General features: G+C 36.4%; 1 protein-coding gene across 38 annotated transcripts in view, besides 1 other annotated feature; it reads left to right on the top strand.

Annotated features, from left to right (window-relative positions):
* The window catches only part of MECOM (MDS1 and EVI1 complex locus), a 580,206-nt gene that overhangs the window by 508,508 nt on the left and 45,533 nt on the right, over window positions 1–26,165 (top strand). For 13 of the 38 annotated variants that reach the window (NM_001205194.2, NM_001366473.2, NM_001366466.2 and 10 more), the window contains 2 exons: window positions 11,373–11,507; window positions 23,674–23,776. In NM_001205194.2, coding sequence (NP_001192123.1) covers window positions 23,728–23,776 — 49 coding nt within the window. In that variant the 5' untranslated portion in view covers window positions 11,373–11,507; window positions 23,674–23,727. Of the gene's footprint in view, window positions 1–5,449; window positions 5,474–7,733; window positions 8,483–8,665; window positions 8,729–8,899; window positions 8,980–9,681; window positions 9,888–10,146; window positions 10,209–11,372; window positions 11,508–23,673; window positions 23,777–26,165 lie in introns of those variants that run through there. The other 25 variants (XM_047447694.1, XM_047447692.1, NM_001366471.2 and 22 more) reach the window with 8 other exon arrangements.
* Window positions 5,707–5,766: a silencer, noted in NCBI's record as "silent region_14872". NCBI's record gives its function as "represses an Ori minimal core promoter by ATAC-STARR-seq in GM12878 lymphoblastoid cells {active_cell/tissue: GM12878}" and the evidence as "EXISTENCE:reporter gene assay evidence [ECO:0000049][PMID:35858748]".

The following is a 26,165-nucleotide window of genomic DNA, read 5'->3' as shown; positions in this document are numbered from 1 at the left end:
CCTAAGGGGGAATAGTGTTAAGTAACCAACTTTGCTTGGATGTAAATAAAGTAATTCCCCATACATTTAGCCATAATTAATTTATTCTTACAAAAAGTCTCAAAGACAGTTTAGTTTATGATGGAAAGCTGTTATTGAAGATATCAGTAGGAACAAAACTTGATTCCGTCCTTAAAAATCTTACAATGGTCCTTAGGAGGACAAGAGCATTAAAGACACACCTGTAAGTAAGGAAGAACTGGCTATAAACCAGGAGAGAAGCACAGATAATTTGGGTTGAAGGATGGAAAGGTCAAGCCTGGGTGGTAAAAATCAGCAGACATAAAAAATGGTTGGTTTAGAAGTATAGATAAGATTTTATCTATGATAACCAAGGCAAAATAAATTATAGGCTGAGCAATAATAATGATAGCAATTAAAATTATAATAGCAATACCAATAATAATAGCTATTTTCTATTGACTATATCCTATATCCTCTTCATGATTCTAAGTGATTTACCTACATTGCCTCATTGAATTCTCAAAAAAAATGGAATGAATTTATACTGAATTGTTAGGCAATCGGAACTCACTGAAAAACTGTGAGCAAGGGAATAAGTAACAGCAGATGGTTGAGAGGATTAACATCAAGGACTTTAAACTGGTGGGAGAGTGAATGGTGGTCAGAGGATCTGGCAGGAGATCATTGCAATAATTCAGACTAGAGGTAACAGGCATCCAAATTAGGCATTCAAACTAGGTGAGAATGGAAGTCAAGGAAGGACCTGATCCATTTTTTTTTCAACAAACATCTACTAAATACTTGATGTCATGCATTATGGTAGACTCTGGGCAACAGGGGCAAAAAAGATAGACCCAATTCCTGCCCTCTTGGTACTTAAAGTCTGTCTACCAGGAGACATTGTAGAGAATAAATTTCCTGGCCTTGGTAACAAATATTGACCTAAAACTAGTCCAAGATGTGTGTGTGTGTGTTCCTACCCTCGTTTTTAGGGCTCTGGAACTCAATGGTATTCCACCTTTGCTGCAGAATACTCTCTCTTACTGACTGGCAGAGAACACAGTGGGTAGAACAGAACAAACTCAGCTGCAAGCCAGACAGAGACGGACATCTTCATGGGTAGCACAGCTTGAGAGAAAAAAAACACTTTTCTTAAAATTCTTCCCTTCCAAGGTCAGGGTAAGGATTAGGGCAACTGACACTGGAATGGAAGAAAGAGGAAACAAAACTACTTACACTTTGCTGTTCCCCAAAGTATAGGCCAGACTATCTTCCTCATTGTGCATGTATGTAAGTTTACTGTAACCCGTTACACAAACACAAATACTGTGAAACTTATAGTATTTTGACCTGTTCCCATGAACTCAGGGCAGTTCACACTCACGTTACCCAATTTATTTTCCCAACACTCGTAATAGTCTGATATTATGAAACTGTCATGGAAACCAACTCAAAGGTTAAGTGACTTACCCAAAGGTACACAGCTAGGCGTGGAGAGAGGAGGAAAATCAAGCTTCCAACAAACTTTCCCCACAAGATTATGAGTCTAAAAGCACTCTTAGATGGTGTATCTAAAGCTCGAGGGAAGAATCTGATCCTGGAGTTATTGCATAATGTGCTAAATACTATATTGAAAGATTGAATTAATTAAAATTAATAAAATAATGAAAAATGAATTCCTTATAGAGTTGAGGTTTTTTCCAAAAGCACTTACTACCTCACTAATTTAGTCCGAAGTTAAAAAGAATGAGGGATTTCACCTTTTGAGACTAATGATAATCGTAAGCAAAGTTATCTTTTATAAAATAAAAAGATAATAGTAAATTTTTCCTAGTGATATAAAACAACCAGTTGTCTGAACAACCAGATTGATATGTTATGCATTTTTTGTGACTGTCTCAGTTTTTGTATTTATTTTTTCATCATTTATTTCTTGAATATATCTTGTAATAAATACACATCAAAGAGTTAAACATCCCTACTTTTGGGAAATATTTCTCTATTGTCTCTATTTTGCTACCAAAGTTTTACAGTATTTTATTAACATTTTTATTTTATCATAATATTTTCATTTAAACTTGGTATAAATTTGTTGCTGTGCATTAACCACTCAGCATCATAGCTTAGGACTGAAACACATCAAAATAGTCCAGCAAAAAATATTTTAAATATGGCAACCTTAACTGGAGTTTAAAAAATAAAACTTTGAGTATAATAATTTATTCACCAGAGCGGTTGTTTCAGCAAAGTACTTCATCTTAGTTTCCAAAGAGCTGCTAGTTGTTACTAAATATATTTTAAAATAGAAGCAAAAAAGAAATCTGCTCTCATTCTGGCCAAATATACTATAAAATATTAAACTGTTAAAATCTTTGGCATTTTGGAGAAAGATCAGCTAGGTGATTATGCTTGTATAGTTAATTAATAAGAAAGGAAGTAGGTAATGGTTCACTGGGGAAACTTTTGTTATCACCATGTCTATTTATGAAGGATCCCATGCTGTAGGGACAATAACGGGGTGCTAATTCTGAACGCACACAGTGCCGTCCTACAAAGACATCAAGATTTGTAGGAAATCAACCCTCCAGCAGTCCTGGCAAGCCAGACTGACCCCAGCAAATGAAAATAATCAAAAGTAATTAGAAGCGTGCTGGACTACTCCTCGGAGAGCCGAATAGGAGAGTAAACATGCCTGAATCCTCGAGCCACTGCAAAGGCCCATGTCTGAGCTGTTAGGTGCCCTGACCTTGTCCACATAAAGATGTGATTTATGAAGTGCAGGGCACAGCAGCAGGGCTTCTGTCTTCTCCTGGAGAACCAAATTACTGAGGTGGAGATTAACATGCTTTCAGTCGGGCCCATTTCCAGACCAAGGGAAATTTTTTATTTAAATTTGTTTTATCTTTAATTTCCTCTTTTCTAACAGCACACCCCAATAGATAAAAAAAATAATAATTTAAAAAAAATAAAAAAAGGCAGAGTCCACCAAGAGTCACCAGTAATCTCTCTTCAGTGCAGTTGTGATATGTGTGTGGGGCTACGGACAGTCACAGCATTTTTGTTGGTAAATTTGTATTGTGCTGGACTGTTTCACTGGATCTGTCTGATCAAAGCATCACAGAATTCACATTCATGCTTAGAGAACAAAGCTTGCAAAATACTTATTAAATTAAAAAACAGAAATTATTAAAATTAAACAGAATATCACCTTAGATTTCATGGCTTTCTGATCTAGTTTATCTTGCCTAAAGGTCATGCTTCATTACAAAGTTTACTCTATTAAATAAAAAGATTTGGGAAAAGAAATTGTGGGTGGTAGAGAATTTAGAGGAGTAGGAGAAAGACAAATTGGGAGAAATATTTATATATGAATCAGTGGGAAGTCTCTTGAGTCCTAAAAGACATACTTACATTATTTCTTATCTTTGTGTCAGTTAGGTTAGGTAAGATTTTACAAAATCCTATTCTGACATGGAAAAGGAAGCATTGATTTTCTTTTTAAACACACATCAATATCTATACACGAAGCTAATTTAATTAGCAGGCACTTATTGTTCAGCCAAATGTCAATTTCTCAGATTATTTCATGCTTCTTGACATGAACTGTATGAAACAGGATTTAACAGAATCTCCATGAATAAAACTCCACTTGAGAAATGTAAAAATGCACATGTACGTTCTTGAAAAGCTACAAAAAAATAGAGTTAAAACAAAGATGTTAGGCTTGGAGTTTAGTGTATATTTAGCCACCTCAAGAAACCCAAAGCTGCAGAATTAAGGGAATTTAGACTGAGGTTATAAAGTGCCTTCCTCTATAAACTAAAAACATAATGTCAGGGTGAATGGGAACATACTTTATTAACTTTACGGTATTGAAAACTGCCAGCAAGTTGTCTTGTTTTTAAATATTGTCCTCTGCAGAGTGTTACAGTGCTGTTTGTCCACAGGAAGCCTATTAAAAGTGGACAGTGCAGTCATTTCATCTGGCTTTGGCTGGACTGCTTTTCTTTCCTTTAATGATGTGCTGGAATGTACCATGCCCATAGGGTCTCCATTAGCAGAACTTTTACTTCTGGGACGACCATGAAGTTTAAGGCTTAAAAGAGGCATCAGTTTACAGTCTTGTGGGAATCACTTGAATACTGGAGCACTAACTTCTTACTGCTTTAACTAATATATTGACTTATTTTAAATAAACAGTTACACAATGAAGGCAGAGCCAGTGGCCTTATTGGAAATCTTTGGGCTTTTTAAAGATTCTGCAATCCACACAGCTGGGGAAGGAAGGAAGGGGCCTGAGGAGGGTTTATGCCCTTTTCAAACCAGGAAGAAAACACATTAACCTCTCCCACCCCAGCCCTGCCATCAGCCAAAGGGGGATCTTTACAACTCCTAGAAAATCTATCAGCCCACACTCAACCCTCATATTTTTCCAATGCCCTTTTCCTGGTAAACAACAATTAACAGATCAAGAAAGAAAAAATAATCATTCCTTCTGGAAAAATGTTTTTAAAATCTGGTTCTCTTTTTAAACATCACTGATGAATCATTCCATTTTTTTCTTTCCCCGAAGCTATACATTTGTTTTAGTTTGTTCTCCTACTCCATCCCCTTAATATTTAGATCATCTGTCCTGATACATGTTTGCAAATTAAAGCTGGTTTGAGATTACAGTAAAACCATTATTTTTAATAGCCCATTTCAAGGGCAGTGCTAAACACTGCAGAACACGCATGTTACTGATTACTGCTGAGCAGACAGCGGCTTTTGCAGATTAATTTGTAACTGGGAACTACTGTAAACAGATTTCACCAGAAATCCCAAGGAATAAAGGGAATTGGTGATGGTATTTGGCTCCTTGTATTTATTTATTGTTTTAGAAACCTTCTGATGGAAAGCAAGCTAACAGGGGAAGAAGCAAGCCCCTTGCAAAATCCTTTTCCTCTAACCTTCTTTCCTGTTTCATTCACTTATTGGGGAAGATGGATCAGGTCTTCTAAATAATTCTTATTTAAATAGCAAGAAGACCCTTTCATGAGAAACAAGGCCAGTCTAACTACTGTGGGATTTCAGAACCCTATCTTTAAACTTTAAGTTGTGTGAAGAAAAAGTGAGATGACTCTGCCTTTACATGAAGTTATTGTTATATACCTAAAGGAGAAAGGGAGTGGGATGGGGTGGGGGAGAGGGGAGGGAGAGACAGACAGACAGACAGACAGACAGACACACACACACACACACACACACACACACACACACACACACAGAGAGAGAGAAAGAGAGATTAAGATTTAGTGTTTTGTTAGCTTCCTTTGCCCAGGTCCTTCTGATGATTTCCTTTAGTCTTTTTCACAATTTATTCAGTGGAGAACAAGACTGATGATGACGATAATGATGATATTAATATAATAATAATGATGATGCAATGAATTCTCCATTCTTCTAGGTACATCTTCCAAGGTCTCGGAGGGTAAGCGTTCACTCTTGGTTGTATTTGGGGAAGAGAAGCTCAGACGTAGGAATAGCCTTCTCTCAGGCTGATGTCTACATGCCTGGACTGCAGTGTGCCTTCCTCTCGTAGCTCGGAAGGACGCGGAACGGCGGGCGAGGCGGAAGGCAGAGCTGTGTTGCCGGCGCCTGGCGGGCAGAGGCGGGTTCACCTGGGTGGCTGGAGCCGCCGGCGCTGCGCTTTATTTCGGAGCGCAATGCCATCTACCGGCGTCCTGCCGTACCTGCAAGTATCCAGACCTTGAAAGTCGCTCCGCCTCCCCCCACCCGAAGCCAATATAGGGGAAAAAACTCGGAGGCCCTTTCCACGAAATCCTAATTTAGCCAGGACCTGCCAATGATTCCAGACGACCTTTTGTTTTCCTACCGACGTTTCCTCGTTTTGAAAGCAGTTTTGTAAAGGGCAAGGAGGTGGGGGCCGCAGGGTTGGGGCGCTGAGCTCCCAGACCCCCTGATCAGGCCGCACTGTCTGAAGCAATCGGTTCCCCAGATTACTTGTATTTAATACACAATGCATCATAAAACAAATCCCTCATCCTGACAGGAAGAAAATAGAACAGCTCATAGCTCGAGCCGGTCCAATTTATGGCTAAATTAAAAAAAAAAAAAAAAAAAAGAAAGCTCCGACAATGGGCAAGTTGAGGGAGGGCAGGAAATCAATGGCCACGAACCAGGAGCTCTTAAAGGTTCTCAAGCGCCCAACTCTACGGGAATATCTGACCGGGTTTTAGGTTATTTACAAAGGATTTTTCCTGTCCTACCTACCACTGCTGTGCGATTTTCTCTCAAACAATGGCCATTATCTGAAATAACAGTTCAATGTCACAGATAACAGGCCACCGAAACAAATTAGTCACCACCTCTTGTCATTTTCTCTCCCCCAATCCCTCCCTTTTGCTACTATTTTTGTTTTTAAATCAATATTTTGGGAAAATATAGTTCTACTGGATTTACACGTTTATTTGCACTTGGAGAAAACAAAAAGTGGGTGGCACTTGTGTTATCCCGTTTGCAGCTAAAGTTTAACCGTCAGCACACTTTCCAGCCCCTCTTGCCCCACCTCTCCCCCGCAAGTGTCCCTAGACTCGCTTACTTTGCTTAACTTTCCATTGTTGAGCTGGGGAGTTGGATTTTGTCCATTTGTTTTTATGAATGGAGTTTTGTGATAAAAACGCGTTTACTTCCATTTAGCCAGTGGGATTTACTAAATCTTACAAAGTTGGCCATGAATAAATCTGTAGACCCTTTTGTTTTGCTATGTATCCCCTGTATTCTTTCTTCCAATGTCTTTTCTACAATGTATTGGTTTAAATGTACCCAAGGTATATTAGAAAGTTATTAAACATAGGATAGTACCGATTACTAAAAGCAGCATTTATGATGTTAAACGTTCAAAAATAATCTGAGTCGTCAAATTGCTTATTGCACGTTTTGGCGTTCAAGGTGTTTTAATTAATGTATCAAAGAAAATGGCAAAGACTCACCAGACAGTCATCAATCTCTCTAAACCCATAATATGCTGTTTGGGCGGGTTATATGCCAATAATTTTTCAGATTTTAAAATATCTTTAAAGAAAAATATGGTTTGAAAATTTTGCACGCCCTTCCTCTGACCTAGCTACAAGAATGAAGGGAATAAATTAGAGTATGAGTTTCAATTAAAAAAATTTTTTTTAATGCTTAGCAGAAAACTGGAAATGTACATGTCAACTTTTCACTCTTGAGGTTGCTGTTTTCTGAGAATTTCTAAACTATTTATATTTAGTCTGAACTAGCGTCCCTATACCCTAAGCTTTATCCTCCCCACTCCAGCACTACCTCTCCCCCCTACCCCCGCCCCCTCCTGCCTCGGTGCACACACCCTCACACCCCTGAAAGCACTTCTCTACCCTTCCCCATCCCTCCCATCCCCCATCTCTCTCTCTCTCACACACACACATGCACACACACACTCGCGCGCACACACACACACACACACCACACTTGTGCTTTCAAGACATCGAAACGGAGGCTATTTCCCTGGGGAAAGAAATCCTGCCTGGCGAGATCTCCCCATTGGTTGTTTACCCGGAGAAATCTACATGTTTAAGGGGGATGGTGCATCCATAATCAGTCTGTCCCTATAGGACTTGGGTCTTGGCGACCTTTTTGTGACCTCTCCCGCCAGAGGAGGCTGCTGTCACTTTAAAAATTTAAAAGAGGAGCCCGTCTGGCTTCCGATCAGATCACTCTGGGCGGCGGGAGATAGCTCCCTTTCTCCCTCGCCCCGGGTTCTTTCTGGATGGCCGAGCAGATCCTCTTTAAAGAGACAGTTCATGAAATAGAAACCCGGCGGCTGAGCTTGGAGTTGCGAAAGGGGACGATCCCGTGAGGGTCCAGGACCCGCGAAGGCGCTGCGGAGGATCTGAAAGGGGGATAGAGCTCCCCTCGCCTCCCCAGGCCCCCCACCTTTTCAAACTCTCCTCCTCCTGCTTGTTTTCCCCCATTGGAACTGGGAAGGAGAAGTAGAAGTTTTAGTGGGTTTCAGATAACTTTCATTACACATCGGGCTGATAAGAGCAAGAGAAAGTGAGAAAAGAGGGAGGTGATGTGAACCAGAAGGAATAGCTCCGAGCTCATTTAGGAAGGGGGAAAAAGCCAAAACACACCAAACCCGGGTCACCCAGACGAAAGAAGACTTCATTTCTTGTATTAAAAATACACTGTTGGCGGACAATAAATCCGAAACGCGTGGTCCTGGAGAGCAGATCCTAGAGACGGACAAAGTTGTCAGAGACCCATTTGGAAATCGAGACGCGAGGCTTTTAAAAAATTATTATTATTATTTTTAAACATCTCTAAATGTTGCTCGGGATCGTTTGAAAGGATTTTCGTGCAGGAGCGTTGGGGGCTGCTGATTATTTTATTTTGTTTATTTTGATTCTTCTGTGAATGCCTATTATTGCTGAGTTGAGGCCATAGAAATCTAAAGGTAAGAGAACTCCTCACTTTAAAAGGAAAAAAAGTCTGGGCGATGTGAAAGTTTGTCACTTCGGACAGTTTCCTGCCGGGGCACCGTTTCTACGGGCGCCCCCCGCCCCCAGCCTTCTTTCCTCCTCGCCCGCAGTCTCGCGGAGCCCTGCTGCTTATCTACGTTGCTAAGCCGGGCGATTTCCTTGTTCCTCCTGCGAAACGGTGCGGTCTGGACACGTCTCCGGGGTGGGTCGTCCGGCCTTCGGTGGGTTTCTCTGCCGGCTTGTCGGCCTCTTTTCCTTGCGCTCTTCTCCTCCTTCCCCTCCCTCCGTGTGTCTCTGTCCGTCGGTTTCGGGGACGCACAAGGTGCGGTTGCCAAAATCTGAATTCCTGGCACTGGCCACGCGACTTTGGAGCCGCTCTCGGCCGAGTTCCACCTTGCCAAGTAACAGCTTTGCTGTCCAACATCGTGTGCTGCTTCGCGAGAAAGTCACATTCGGACCCTTTGGCTAGATTGTGGGGATTTTTTTTTTTTTCCTTTTGCTGTTGGTTTTTTGAAAGGGCCTTTCTCTAAAGTCTACCTAAACGGTTTTTTTTTAAGCTATCTTTGGAGGTTGACAGCTTTTAAAAACACAGGAGTGTGTTATATGAAATGACTGAAGATGTGTCGTTACTTTATTTTATTCGAGATTTCCGACACGATTAAGACATTTGGGAGACAAATGCAGTTCTGCTAGCAAATCAAAAGTGAATAATTCACCCAGGGGGCAAACGTTTCTGGAGAAAGCTAAGCTTTTGTCTTGGGGCAAGAATATTGAGAGGAAGAATGTTAATATGATGGTGAAATCTTTGAATAATCGTATAACAGATTAGTAAAAAGACATTCTTTGGAAATGAACCTTTTTAAAAATTAATTTTGCTGTTGACAGTGGCAATGCTAATAATGTTAACACGGAATAAAATTACACCTACAATTTTTATGTGCAGTGTATGTAATACTTAACTCCCTGCCCCTGTGAAAGGGTATGCTTGAAAGCTAAGGGGATGGATGCTTCTTGACTTTGAAATTAACAAGTTTTCCACGTCTCTCTGCAAATATGAAATGGAATTAGTATTGCATTTCACTGGCTTTATTCTATGTCCTTTATTAAATATTTCTTTGGTGTGTCAGGAGAACTGCCTTTTCTTTTTCTTTTTTTCTTTTTTTTCTTTTTTTTGCCAGTCAAGGAAACAAACAACAAAAGATCAACCAGAAACCAAACAGACTGAACAAACCAACAAAACCCAGCAACAAACTCCAACTTTTTACTATTTAAAAATGTGCATTGCTATTATTTATGTACCTTCTCAACATCTGGGATGGGGGGAAATCTCAAGTTGCCATTTGAGTTACTCAGCACTGAGAGTTGAAGAAACATCTTAAAGTTTGTAATTTTATTGATAACAAATTTTTAGAATTTGTCCTCTTAATAGAAAGGATGTTTAAGTGTACACTTCTGTCGTTGTTAGTGTGAAGAGGCATCCTTGAAAAAGAAGAGTTTGATTTCTCTCTGTGTGTGTGTGTGTGTGTGTGTGTGTGTGTGTGTGTGTGTGTGTGTTTAATAATATCCCTATCTTATGTTCGATTTTTCTTTTTTAAATTTTGGGACGACTTATTGCCCTTCAATTTCCTCATGGCCAAAGGCTTATTCATAGGGCTTCTTGACTAAAGCCCTTGGAGCACTGGGTTTTTCTTGAAGTATATGGTGAGTTAATGACTTGAATCTGCAATTGGGTGATTGCCTGAATTCTATGCAAAATTGCTTTTGGTCTCAGTACTCAAGAGTTTAATTTTAACTTTTATGTGGTTATGCATACAGCAGAGATCTGTAGGAGTTATTTAATTCAATAATTTTTGTTCTAGGTATATTGCTTAGTCTTTGATAGGAAACTTCCTCGTTTGTATTAACTGATTGACATAACATTACCATCCTTTGTAGTTATTCACCATCAGGTCAACAACTCTACAGCTTTTAATATTGATGTTTAAGACATTATTGCTGTTAGTGAATCAGAATAGCTTGGTTTAAGTACACATGATCTTAAAAATGGAAGTTTCCCTCTTCAATTTTTGTTTAGTGTGTCCTAACTAATGATTAACATTTAGATGGGCCAAATGTAAAATTTCATGAAAAATAACAAGATACAAGTATACCTAATGATGGCAGTTCATTACAGTATTTTAATATATTTTTTATTTGTTCACAAGGAGCCAGCTTTATTTTGCTTACTAGACAAAATATTGAAACATGCGTTGACATGTGTTAACTAAAACCTGAGTTTGCCATACTTTGCATGAGTGTTTCCGAATTCATTATTTTAATTTGTTTTTCTTTAGTTTGTTTGGAAGCACCTATAAGACAAATCTTATTATCTCCTTCAATTAAGAGTGTGATTTAATTGTTTCATGGTAATGAGATGCTAACCATGAAAAAAAAATTTAGATGGAAGTTTTTAAATTAAAGTGCAAAAATGTGAAAATATATGCTTACATGAGACTATACGAATATGAAATATTGACTGTAATGTTTAGAAATATTATGTTAATATACGCTGTTCAATATTATTTTTTGCAAAAATCACATTGGATAAAATTAGCACTAATTTATGCATATGAAAATAAGCATTTTTGAAACCAATTAATCAGTTTTTGTAACAAATTGCAAGTGCTTTATTCCTTTTTAAAAAAGCAGTATGTTGTCATTTTCAAGGTAACTTCTCATTTCCCCTCTATTAATGTGCTTGTGATCTGACTTTTTTTAAGGATCCAAAGAAGGAATATACATTTCAATGAAATATTTTCAAACAACTGATTATTTTAATGAGTGGGCCAATATGGCAATTGATTGTTCTCATCTTCTTCCCTCCAGATCTTAGACGAATTTTACAATGTGAAGTTCTGCATAGATGCCAGTCAACCAGATGTTGGAAGCTGGCTCAAGTACATTAGATTCGCTGGCTGTTATGATCAGCACAACCTTGTTGCATGCCAGATAAATGATCAGGTATGTTGTAAAGATTTTCTTGTCTTTCCTTGAGAGCACAAAAGTATCACTGGAGCCTGAAGAATAAAAATAACAGTAAGCTGCAGTAGACCCTTGTGGCCTGTTTGTTGATATTGTGAAAGATAATGCACAAATATAAGTAAAATGCAGAACAAATTCATATTTAGTACTACTTTCTTTACATTCTTTGGGTAGTCTATTCAGTTTGTACTAGTATCCTTCATAAATGCACCAGTTTTCTTGGTGTGACTGATTTAAAAACTGAGTATTATTACTGCCTACCGTTCAGTTTTTCTTTGCTATCATAGTAGGTACATTCATAAAAGGTATTGAGCTAATCAAGAACATCTTGTGAATTTATGCAGAAATTGGAAGTGATATACTTGAAATGTTATATAGGTTTTATTTGAAATGTATATGCATAGTATCAGTGTTATCTTATCTAATTATGCATTTTATATTGATTTGCCTAATTATAAATGAGAACACTTACTTTTAGATTAATTAAAATACTTTTTTTGGTATATGTTAAAAAGTTTAAAAATAACCCTGCTGGAAACTGCTTTGTGACATTATGGAGGACCATGCAGTGAGGTTGACTTTAATAACAATAACTGTGAAATAAAGATCATGAAAATATCGTGAAACATATTTTACACTTAATAAAATTAGGTTATGAATCTTGTAATATCATATGACAATACCTAAAATAACAAGAAATTCAGCCCATTAATTTTTGTTTTATAAACATTGTTGAGCTAGAATTTAATTATGTTATAATCATTTATTTCTCTTAACCCAATGGTTTCCTAAATCAAATATGTTTCAAAGACCATATTGAAGTGGTTGCTTGGCAAATCTACTATGAAATCACCATCAAGAAGAAGAATAGTTTAAATTAAATGTTTCCAATTGAAAACTTAAATAAAGCTACTGTCAATTGGTCTAAGACTCTATTTCATTCATTATTATGAGATTATTCTTTGGCATCGTACCAGCTACCAGATAATTTTTACTGACTAAACGGTGTAAGAGGTAGTAAATTGTAAAATTAGGTTTAAATGGAAATCATTTAAAAATCTTCAACATATATCAAAAATAATAAACCAATCAATTGTTTTTTCTCCTTGCTATAAGAAAACAAGAGGAATTATTGACAAGGGAAAACATTATTAAATTAGCTATTGATTGTGAACAGAAAATATTCCGTCTATCATATGAGTTACTGTCGCCATCAACAACAGATATTTTTTGAGTACCTACTATCTGTAGATGTGAGAAATACATAGGTATTGTGAGTGAATTAATGTTATACTCCTTACAAAAGGAACTGGAGGACCTCAAATGATAGCTTTAAGATGAAATAATATAATCATATCATAATAATTGTTTGCTGTTCATATTTATTGACAATGGAAGCTATTTCCTTAGACAGATAAAACTGTTGTAGAATCCGTGAAAAGATGATTTAAGAACGGGACTTGTAGCCAATCTAAGTCTATTTGCAGCCATTTTTTCATTTAATATTTATGTGTGTAGTGTTTTATAATAAATGTACTCGTATTGGGAATCTTGATTGCAAAGGGAAACTGTTTTCCTGTTTCTCACTATGAATTAGGCTACTCATTAGAGTAGGCATTTATAATTTTACCATAGTTGCTTTTGAAATATACATTGTAAAATCCATTGTTTTCAAAAGAAAATATGCCAGTTTTATGACTTAATGAATAGCGTGTTTACTTATTTTGACTAAAGAATCAGAGAAAATACTTAATCTGGGAAAACAGACAAGGACAATATTAGACACACATTTTTCTTAAGTGGTAATTTTTAACTCTTATGCTGACAGAAATCTAAGATGCTAACAGAATGCATATCAAATAATGTAATTGTGAAATTCAAGTAAATTCATCCATAAACAACAAGGGAGGAAAGTCAGAGGTAAAAGTCAGATTTGTATGATACGTGTAGATGTATACAATCACTCTTAGCCCAATTGACAAGACAAAAGGGAAGAGACACCCAAATAGTGTATGCATATATTATAAGCATATTCACCTATAAGCACATATGAATATTCTAAAATCCAATTAAAACTAGCAATTCTAGACAGCTTTGAAATGTGAATGTTGGACTAGGTACAATGATAAAAGAGCTGACTAAAGAGATTCTCTAGGTCTGTTTTTTGCTCTCTTTTCCATGAGGAATAGGAGCTGCCAAATGGTGAATAAGCACAACTCATCACATAATGAACACTCCCATTGTGGGAGGTATTATTTAATATTTAGCTATAGAGAGAGACCCTGGTATAGGAGTAATTATTAAGCATTAATGACATCAACTCACCTGTCTAACACAAAAGCAAATGGAACGCTCTACAAGAAATTATAAAAAGTGTTTCTCTTTGCTCTGATTTTTAGATACGGATAAAGTTTATCAAGTGAATTTTAGAGCAAGACAGGTATAAATCCTGGACTCTAAAAAAACGGAATTTGAGATGAAGTTTTCAATTGCAAGTTAGTCATGGTAATAATTAGGTCATCTAACAAAGAAATAAAAAGATTACCCAGGACAAAACAAGAGTGTATAAATTGAACTTTACTTTTTCAAAGATACATATTTTTAAAAATTCTAATGTTAAAAGATCAAGTTTAATCAATTCAGATCAGTTTTTAATGATATGGAGGAGCCATATTAAAGAAAATAAATGTGCTTGCTAAGATTATAATACAGTTTGATAGTAGAAGGACAGTCAAAATGTTGTATGCTGGATAACCTGTATTTGATTTCTTTGTGGGTGAAGAAGTTCTAGAAACAGCATGGATTTTGGTTTTTAAGTAAAGTTGATAAAAGATGTAATCTATTTTGTATCAGAAAAAATAAAAATGAAAGCAACCCAGTTACCACTTTCCCCATACCTTTCTACCAGCATTTTATTTAAGGAAATTTTCCTGAGTAGTTTAAATTTTCCAGTAGATTTCTGTGAGTTATTTCATTTCAGATTTTTTTTTTTTCAGACAGAATGAGCTTTGTGGCAGCTTTCTTTCTTGTCAGTGCTGCCTAGAAAGACTCAAGTTTTGTGATTTTAGACGTCTCTTTCATTTCATGCTTCCAAAATTATTGCAGTGATGTTTTTGGAGATGCACATTCTGAAAACATTGACATCACTGCTAAACCATAATTTCTAAGTAGCTGTGGCTTCTGACTGATATCTTTATTCACCCCTGAAAAAATGTATTAACTACAGTAATTTACCTCTATGAAAGAAGCTATACCAAAGACACTAGTCAATTGAGTCACAGTCACACTCAAGTCATAAAATAATAGATCCATTAAAGATACCCAAGTCTCTTTATCCTTAACATTCTAATTATTTTTCCCTTAAAGTTTCTCTACAATGCTACATAGGTCTATGGCTGTGGCACGGTGTTTAGCTGGAAATTTTTACTGAGACAGACAATGCTTAAATATTTACATTCTAACAACCTGAAATTATCCTTGGTTGCTTTCAGGAGCAAGAATTGGCCCTGAAAGGCAGAGCAGGGTAGGAGCAAAAGCAGAGAGTTGGTTAAGGAAATCTCTTTCCAGACTAGGTCCTCAAGAGGACCAATATAGAGAGGAAGCATAAAAATGTTTTTTTTTCATTATTCAGAGGTTTCATTTACATACAGAAGCACCTATGTGTTTAATGTGAAGTAAACCAAACATCTACATGATATATTGTTTTTTTTTTTTAAAGAAAACTAGTTATTTAGATATTCTTTCCTTTAAAGTCTTGTAGCTGTCTTACTTTTACAAACCATTTTGATTGGTGGACATAACTCATTGCTTTAGGTTTGGTCGGTCTCACCCTGTTCTCACCTCTCTCTCCATCCTTTGATAAGTCTCCTTTTGACCCCACATATACCCTTCGCCTGGATCAGAACCAGGGCTACCTACCCATAGACCCCCATCCACCTCAGACAAGGCCAGTTCTCATGTTTGAATAGATTCACAAAGTTTGGGTACTTATGGAGTAGTTCTCTGGACACAACAGCTTTACTCTAATACATCTTCATAGTGAAAACATATTGGTAATAATCAGAGAGTCACTAAGACACAATTTACCTAAGTTGGCTTTTTAGATTTAAATGAGACCTGCCTTTCCACTTACAATTAATACAATTTATGTAAGTTGACTTTTTAGACTTAAATGAAATCTGCCTTTCCACTGATAGTTAGAATGATCTGGGCGAGTACTTTGGGATAATGTTTTGTATATGTAAGTGTGTGTGTATTCTGTACCATAAGAAGGAACACACTCCTGGCCTGCCCTAACATGGTCTATGAGTAGAATAAAGTTCTCAGAAACCCAAGACATTATTAATCTTGTCATTTACACAAGGTGATAAGTCCTTTCATTTTTAAGTAGGCCCTTGACAGCTGGTATTTAGTAAGTAGAAAAAGAGAAGTCTGCTGTTCACTCTGAATAAAAAGAAATGTGTCGATAAGAGATTATCTAATGCCTGATGTATATTTTGAAGAAATGAGTTACAGAAGAATGAGTGCCCCTCAGAGAATACAAAGTCAGAATTCACTTAAGGATTCTGCCAGCTCCCTTGTGGTTAATGAACGGCAACAAGACTCTACAGTGTTTTCAGTTGGAACAGGCATTGTTCTCATTTGTGCTTTACCTTATAAAGTTTTAACTGCTTCCAGGACGATCCTAGCTGATGTGGCACCCCGCGTTCGCTCTCCTTAGGTCCACGTGAATGATTATATCAGACTGCTGTGACACTAGAACAGCATTTTATTGTGAGCTTATTATGGGCTCAATTATTATTTTCTTTGGATTTTACTATGAAAAAAAATCCACTTTCCTGCATCTTTCGATTAGTACAATTTGTGCAAAACAGCAAGGTAGATTAGCTATGTATACTGCAAAAATGTAATTTGTTACCCTCTTTATACTTTTTAAAAATGTTTGTGTCTACTGTCAGGTAATTTGTTAATTTGCTCTTCCTTTACAAGGGTATCTGTCCACATTTTGTACCACTTCTTTTGATGTTAAAGTTATTATTGGCTTTGGGCATTTTCTTTGCTTTGCTTTTAAGTCAAGTTCCACTTTTATACCAAAGTTATGCTCTGCTGTTTTAAGATGAATGCCAGCTGGCAATACCCAGAGACTGGCTTTGTGAACAGTGCCTAAGCTGACTTTGGGGGGATGTTGTCTGGCTGACAAGTTACTTCCTTCACCTGAAGATGAAACTCTTTCAAACATAGTTTGCCATTTGATTTTTACATCATAAAACAAACATCACCTCATCCCCTGCCCCAGTGAAGTTTCCTTCATGTAACAATACCTAGGATGCAACACTGACATAACGCTAGGATTTTTGTTAAGATTCACAAACTGCATAAGTTGAAAGAGAGGGTGACCTGAAGTATTAAGTGTACATTTTAAGTAGTTAGTGTTTGCATGTATATATCGCCTTTCATTCAGGAAGATCACAAAGCATCACATACACAATAGACTGTAACTATTTCTGGGAGGGCATATAAAAGTCATAAGAATGCTTTACAAGCCATGAAGGAGGATAATGTTTTGGTCAAGGACACAAGAGAAGCCTCCAGCCAAGTAAAACACCAAAGATGATCTTTTTAGCTTCTTTGTAATGTAATGATGGAACTCTTCCCAAAGGTTTGGAAACCATTCAAAATGAACATCAGTTTTTATACAGTCAGATGAAATGACCACATTAAAGACAGGTGGCTAATGGATATTTTTGGGGGGTCTGTAGATAGACCCTCAGAGGTTATTTAAGGAGACATCTTGCAAGGCTTTCAGGCTGGGTACACTGTAAGCTTCGTGTATAATAATGTGCATCTTTATCAATTGCCGTATTTATGCAAACTAGAACTAACAATTCTCTCTCTGTTTTGTTTCATTCAATAAGTTATACTTGGTTTTCTCTTCATGTTACTGACAAAGAGATAAAGATGTGGAGAAGAAAAAAATTCCACACCAAAGATATCTTGGTCTCGTGGAGTCATATTTTTCATTTAGGAAGTGGATATAGCAAGGCAGTACTTGATCTTTTTCAATTAATATTTTCTTGTCTTTAGACTGTGACCCTGAAGACAAATATGGGATACTTTTTCTTTGGAGAAACTAAGGGTGATTTGCTTTGGCAATGCTTAGCCATGATAAAGCTTCCATAGTGTTGAACAAATTTATGTTCAGTCATCAATCTCTGCTGAAGACACTTCTCTTTACCTCTTATTAATTAGGCTCAGAATGTATAATAGGATCCTTCCTGCAGATACTCCTATTAAAATTTACATCATTCCTGAATTGGAGTTTCCCACATTACTATGGATAGATCAGGGTCCAGACTATGTTTCCTAATGCATATATTGTATCTGTAGACTTGATGCCACCTCTCTGCAGTACCAAGACTGACAGATATGTCCATATGAAATGCTGACTTTGTTCAAACATGCAAACGGCTACCTACCTCCTCTCCTACCCACCCTCCAATTGCTGAAGTTCCATTCAGCTTTTCCTTGTCTTCAGAAAGTATATTGAATGAAGGTATAGAAAATAAAGCATTTAGGCCAAATGTTGGGAGCTGGAAGAGGAAGAAATCAACTGTTAACTTCAAAGTGAAAAGACACCAATAGCCAGAAAAGGTTTTCTCTCAGTACAGATTTTGCTGGGAGTATATTTCTCTATTATTTCAATTATTACAACTTCCTGCATAGGTTGAAGGTCATTCATAATTCACGCTTCTGTCATTTTTAGACATGCCAAATGCAGTCTATTAAGCATAAATAAAACTTCCAGTGTTTGATCAGGAAAAATAAACGGGGATTCATAACAATAAAGCCTTGTTCATCTTTTTAAAAGTAAATGTGTTTTCCTTCTTTCTTATTTTCCCCCTTGTGTGCAGAACTTTTCTGTCTCAACAATACAAACATAATACTTCAAATCAATCCACAGATAAAGAATCTGACAGATTCCAGATTTTTGTTCTCTAGTATAATGAACAAGACCCACCTGATTACCATTTGAAAAAACTAATGATAGAGGATTTGGTTGAAAGCAGTCCTTCAAAGTATAAAACAGAGTTAGACTGAAAGTCTTTTATGGCATATTAACTTTCCTATCAAAGTGCTTATGAGTGTCTATGCCTGCTTTACTGCTGTCATCTTGGACTTAACCAAATAAAATGAATAATGATATATGATTAATTCTAATTCCAAGTATATATAATATAAATTTTATAAAACATAATATATAATTACATATAACTTGTATGATATATAATAAGAATTAATCATGTGCCATGAAGCATTCATTCTTATTATATAGAATTATATACATGAGATTACTAATATGAAAATTTAAAAATTTCTCCAAAACATATACTTTGCCATGTTTATGTCAAATTATAAAATATGTAATATATCTAAGCACATTTATATTTATAAATAACACCACATGAAAATGTACAGTTTGGAAGTCTAAATTTGCTCAATCAATTTCATATCACCACTGTCTTTTATACTTAACTTAGCCTTGTGAGTATTAGCTGAATGGATATTCTCTTTGCATTTGGAATTGCTTTCAGGGTTTGATTAAAATAAATTAATTATAATAATTCTGTTTAGGGCATTTAATTTCTATATACATGTATAATATTATAATTATGCCTTAAGCTGTGGGTTTTACCAGTGGTAAAACTGAACAATTTTGGATTTCTAGTTTTACTTTTCAACTACTTGAATCATTTAGAATTTTAAATAAACATTTAGAAATTTCACTAGTGTGCTATTTGAACAAATTTTAAAAATAAAAGAACATGAAGAAATCTGTTACTAAAACATTTACTATAAAAACTTATCCTTATAAATTGAGGTATCCAGAGATCCAAATATAATATTCATACTTACAAAGGCACAAATATTGCTTCATAGAAAAATAAAAAGAGTCTAGCAAGATACTGGGAAAATTTAATTTTTTATGTGATAAAATGAAAAAACCATCTCAACTGGCAAAAGTTTCAGATGTATGGGAGTTAGGTTAGTTCATAACATGTTGTGCTTCTGGATTTTGGTATTAGCTACCAAATAGAAAGTTTTGGAGGAGTTAACACGGTTTTAAAATATTTATTATGACTTTTTAAAAAAATGGAATTTCCATATAATCTATTTTCTTATAGGCCCCATTCTTCTTGTCTTTCACCTTATATTGGGAAGAATTGAGTTTTTTCTTCTCATAGAACATTCTGAGAGAGAGAGCAAAAATAACAAATGAACAACCTTTTCATATTAACTCAAAATTTTCTAAGTGTTGAATATTTTTGAACCTCTCTTTATTTATTGGGGGTATATTCATTACAAAATTTCAGATCCAGGATATTTTTATTTTGAATCCAGAGAACTTTTTACATAAAACCCTGATAGGAGAAGAGACCCATTATTAACTGTTTTATGGAACTTAACAGATTAATTGACTCCCTTCCATTTTTCTCCAACACAAAAATGAGAGAGTTATATTAGTAGTGTCTCTGCTTATGGCACATAACACAGATGGTATGTAATTCACTGGACTGCAATATACTCAAGATTTTGAGAATACAGATTTTAAAGACATTATAACTCTATTTTATAAGCATGGTCAAACATACTTATTATATACAAATATGTGAGAAAATCTATATAAATCACTCCTTTGTTGCATTTTTATTTGCTGAAAGATCTATTTTATAACATAAAAGTATATTTTCTGAAAGGCCTGATTCCTCTAAGATGACATCCCATCATTTCCCCACTATATTGTTTCAGGGCTACAAATTTTCATTTTGTTTTCATTTAAATTACTCCTGTCTCTTCTCAAATGCCTGCTGGCATACCATTAATGTTATTAGAAAGTAAATTAAATTTATATGTAGACATCCCTAGATTCAAGGATTCAAATTATACTTTTGGGCCATTGTAATTAGAAGAGGAAAACAATGTTGCTTAAGTGTCTCCAAAACCCTAAGGGATGAGAGGTAATGAAGATCAGGTGGTAGAAACACCTTGAGAAAAGGACTAGCTTGGTAAGGGTATGGCAAATGGAACTTCGAGGGACATTCTTATTGCTATATGGGGAAGCATGCCCAGAATCTGCCCTCATTATATCTGGCGCTTGCCAGTTCTTTTCAAACCTCAGTTTCATGAGCACCATAAAAACTCACTTAAAATTGAAAAGAACACCCTGAAGTTAAAATCCACTTTGCTTTTCTTTGCCTTTCATGGCTTGGAATGTCACCTTTTACCTCCAGTAAATAAAGCCAACATCAACACTCTTCCGTGTCTTTTATTTTGTATGCACTCAATATTCTTCACATGACAATCTGGACTCTTAAAGGGAAATTACAGTAGTGATCTATGTCTTGGCAAAGAGAATTGTCTTTATAATATATAGTTACAGTGTATCCATCAATTTCTTTTGTTTCTTAGACTGTTCACATTGGATTGAGTAAATCTAAAATGGAATTAAAAGAGACATGATTAATAGTGGACTACAAAGAAATAATGATATCATAATACTCTCTTAAAATGACCTGACGTGTGTCTAAGTAGTATTCCCCAATAGAGACAATTGCACTGTTTTACTGTCTTGTAGGGTATTGTCTCTTTAACCTCACTATTTCCGAGAAGCCACCGAAAAGTTCTAATATGTCACAATTCAAATGTCAACATGTTGTTGGAAAGGAAGCTAATAAGTTAAACCTTTGAGAGATGCCAAAAAAAGAGGTGATTCAAACTGTTGAGAGAAGTCCATTGTTTTCTAAGGGGAAATAGAACTCCAGAATGAAACAGTGTACTTATAAGTATTTAACTGGAAAGTTTAGGGGAAAAAAGCAAACTCACACATTATTTTATTATTATTTTAAATCTGGTAATCTTTAAAAAGAACTGTTCTCAGTGTACTTCCAAGGAAAAGAAAATGTGAACAGCTAGGGTTAATAGGATACAAAGTGCAAATAAACTATTTTTTTTATAGAAACAGCACATAATGAGGAGTAATTTTGCCAAGTTAGTCTGGATTCTATCTGTGGACAAATACAAAGAATCTTAGGTTATATTATAACATATTATAGCAACATTTTATGTTTAGCATTGTTTTCTATAAACCAGCTTCAGGTGGTTCAACTACTATTGAATGAAAAAAAATTATTTTATTTTGACAGGAAAGAAGCTAAGCAGAAAATACTCCTCATTAAGTTATTTTTCAAATTTAGCACAATTTTGTGCTCCGGTCTTGTTATAGAAAAATAAACAATTGGACTTTAGAGCCACCTACTGGAATAAAGAGGCACGTACAAAGTTCTCATCTTTCCAAAATATAAATAGATAAATAAAATTAAAGTATGAGCATTTCTGCTGATCTTATAAGACATCAACTTATGCAGCTTTTCTTAGTTTGAAATATCATGTGATCTTGCAAAAAACCATAGTTAACAGTAATATCTTCTAAGAATATATTCTTAGAATATGATGGTGGTTGTTGTGTTATTGTTTTGGTAGTGTATGTGTGTGTGTGTGTGTGTGTGTATGTGTTTTGCTCAGATATTTAGAATCTGGACTTTTTTGGCTTAATAAGATTGATTCTGGGCTGGGTGCAGTGGCTTACTTGTAATCCTAGGACGTTGAGAGGCCTAGATGGGCAGATTGCTTGAGCCCAGGAGTTCGAGACCAGCCAGAGTAACACAGTGAAATCCCATCTCTACCAAAAAATACAAAAATTAGCTGGGTGTGGTGTTGCATGCTGTAGTCCCAGCTACTCAGGTGGCTGAGGTAGTAGGATCACCAGAGCCCAGGGAGGTTGAGGCTGCTGTGAGCTGTGATCATGCCACTGTACCCCAGCCTGGGCAACAGATTGAGACCCTGTCTCAAAAAAAAAAAAAAAGAAAAGAAAAAAGAGATTGATTCTGTTTGTGGACATTCTTAGGAAGATTGGGAGAAAAGACTTATTGGCACTGTTAAAGAGAGAGAAGAATATATGAGGCAAAGGAATAATTTCCTTCTCAGAGTACTCTAGGGTTTTGCAAAGATACTGTGGTATAATATAATTGGTCTCATTTTCACCAGTTAATCGTAGAACTTCATTCTTTCTTCTAAAACCTCTATCTGATTATGGGATTGTTTAATAAATAACCTTAGAATGAAAAAAAACTGATGACATTTTTATGGTAGAATGAATAAACATCTAAAGATTTTCATGCTTAAAAGCTTTTTTAAATGAACAAAAACCAAAAAACAAAAAACCTGGTCCCTGGACAGGTAAGTTGGACAATGACTTGCCTAAGTCACCAAGCTGCTCAGGAGAAAGGCAGTGGCTCTTGGAAATTTCAGGTCAGGGTTCTTTCCACACTTGCTCCACTGCTTTTGAGTCAGTCATTAACAGATTTATTAAATGCTTCCTCTCCTCAGCACTTTGCTAGAAAGCAAGGGGAATAAGCACCACCCCCACCACCCCAATAAATGAATCAATAAAATGCATAATGCCTACTTTCAAAGAGAGAGGATCAGGAGCTGGGCCTGAGGGCAGGACCCTGGTATGGGAGCACCCTTCTGATTGGTGAGAGAGGGGTTAAGTTTTGAAAAACAAAATACTCTCCTTTGTTGTCATGATCCTTTATGTCATGTCCTTTCAACCTATTACCTTCCAAACACGTTGTTGAGAAGGCGCTACTTTTGCAAACTTGCTTAAGTGGGGAAGGTACAAGGTAAGCTAGGCTACTGCTGGAGAATTCCAGGCAGGATTCAACTCTGTGAGTACGTGTGGTTTGCTAGGGTGCTTTGAGGATTCAGAGAAGGGAAAGTTCTTCGTTAAACATTACACAGGATATATGTGACGCAGCTAGCCTTGCATTAAGAAAATTTGATTTGTGAAGTAGGATTTGGAAAAGATTTGTGAACTGGCTTGAGAGTCACAGCTTTCCATTTGTCACCAGAGGGCTGGTTTTCAATATATAAAACAGGAAATCACACTTCTTTTGATAAAAAAGAAAAAGAAAAAGATGTTTGTTAAGGTGTTTGTACAGGTATCTTAGTGTATATCTTGCCCTTTGTTAATATATATACATCTCTCTCTTTCCTGATTCCATCCACCTTTATTTTGTCTTTAAAGATATTCTATAGAGTAGTTGCAGACATTGCGCCGGGAGAGGAGCTTCTGCTGTTCATGAAGAGCGAAGACTATCCCCATGAAACTATGGCGCCGGATATCCACGGTTAGTACCACTCACGCCACCCTCCTTATCACCTTATCATCGCGACTATAAAGTAGCATCGAAAGCATCCATTGTTCCTGGTGTTTGTTAGTTTCCCTGGCTTTTCAATGTCAGTTTCAACAAGTTCCTTCTCTTGAAGCAGCTATTTTCTTGGTTTGACATCTGGCCACTATTACAGTGAAGCTGAAGTAAGCAGAGGTCTTCCTTAAAGTGGAGGTCAAAGGAATTTTGAGCATTTGCGCAGAACCTCACCTAGTTAAACCTTTTGTCAATGCATTAGTTTATGGTGAGAATCCTTTCACTGTGTAACGGATCTTTCAGGGAGCTTGATTTTGAGCTTTCCTAAATCAAGGGGATGTTTCTGTCATCTAATGTTCTATTACTGGGAAAAGTGTTTCTACTGCAGGAAAATCTTAGCCAATATGACCATATGGGAGGGGTGTCAGGGAAGAGGCCTTGGGAAAAATGTATAGATGAAGAAATTATAGAGGCAGAGGACTTTTTATTTGCCAGAGGCCTATTCTAAATCAAAAGATAATAAAAAATAATGATAATCAGTAGTGATACATGTTTAGGTCAGATAAAGAGAAAATTTTGCTTATATTGATTTGTGTCATTGAGATGGAAATTTAATATATATTTTTCTTTTTCCTCTTTCTGTGTCCAAGTATACTGTGATTTGGTTCAACATAATCTAGTGGCATCTTTAGAATATTTTGTAGTTGGAAGGTCTATTGGGAAGGATTACCCATTCCAACCCATCACAGAGTCAGGGATCACCACCCTTCATCTCTTTAGCATCCCAGATGGGAAAATCTCAGCTTTTGCTTTTATATCTCCAGGAAGCTGCCACTCTTGGCGGGTTCTCTTTACTTGAACAATTTTTCCTTTGGACTGCATTCTGCCTCTTTGTAGGTTATACAAGAGTAGTTGTATTTGCAGGGGGAGGGGGAGGGCTGGCGGCGGGGGCGGGGGGCGCTTTTGGTACTCATTTTCCTCTTAGCAACTCTGACATGCAAATAGCTTTAGAAACCTAGAGTTCCCAATTAGCCTGGTAGAGTTTGAGCCTGAAGAGGGTGTCTGGCCCAATGGGAAAGGGCTCTTCGGCAGCAAGGAGTTCTTAGATGATGAAGAACTGCAATCTGGGCTTTCTCTGGTGCAATGAATATTTCATCTGTAAATGTTAGACCTAAAAAGGTTTTCAAACAATTATTTTTATTTAATATTAATGATTAGGTTAATACTCCAAAAGTTTTAAATAGAAGTGACTGTTCTTTTAGGGCTGCCATTCATAAATTACTTTCCTTTACAACACTCTTGAACCCATCAGTTGCTTCTTGTTTTCAACATATCATGTTTACATCCATACATACACTACATATGTTACATATAATTCTTATAATATTTAAATGATGATTTGTATTTTATACTTCTAGGATTCAACTCTTCCTAGGAAAGAAAATGAAACACATGTATTGCACACCTACTATATGATAGATATTATATACTCTCTCTATATTGTCTCATTTACTCTTTTATGCATAGAACCTGTGGGAAAGAAATTATATCCATTTTACATATAGGGAAACTGAACCTAATTAAGGCTAAGTAAATTGTCCAAGAATGCATGGCTAGTAAGTGGTGAGGTCAGCATTCAACCCAAAATCTTTGCTGTCTCTGATACCTAGGCTTTTTCCATGCATGATGTGGCCTAGAGATTCTGCTTGTGTTCGGACTCCTGGCTGAGGTCCTAAATATAGATCTTAAACAAATGAATAGTATTACAGACTATAGGAAATGTTTCTCCTAACCAGCTAATGTCATTGAGAATCCTGTCTTTAGAGCCAAGTTGATTTTTTTAGAACACTTCCCTCTCTCGACCCTCTAAATCCAAAGATTTCTGTTACCACTGTTACTGGTTTAGTATAAACTAAACCAGCATCTTATGTGGATTTCTGCAGCAGTGTCTCACTTGGTCTCTCTGCTTGACTTCTCATACTGAAACTGGGAAAATTCTTCTAAAAACCAAGTCTGAATATATCCCTGCTTTCCCACTTTCAATGGCTGTTTTCCTTCTTAGCATAGACTTATAAAGCCCCTGGTGAGCTGCACCCCCTCCAGCTTCATTTTCCACTCCTCCCTTACATGTGCTCTGTGAACCTACCATACTTTACTACAGCTCTACCTTTCTGTGGATGTGCCATGTTCTTTTTTGCCTCTGTCTCTTCCCATTTCCCGAAATGTGCCCCCTCCTTCCACTTCACCTGGCTGATTCTTACTCATTACAGAGCCTTTTCTGAACCTCTTTTCAGAAAAAGAATACTTGACTAAAAGAATTCTTGGACTAAAGTATTCCCCCCAAAACATTCAGTCAATGAACAATTGAAGA

This window comes from Homo sapiens, chromosome 3 (genome assembly GCF_000001405.40).
Source record: "Homo sapiens chromosome 3, GRCh38.p14 Primary Assembly".
In the NCBI taxonomy this organism is placed as follows: Eukaryota; Metazoa; Chordata; class Mammalia; order Primates; family Hominidae; genus Homo; species Homo sapiens.
This window is presented reverse-complemented; position numbering and strand designations above follow the sequence as displayed.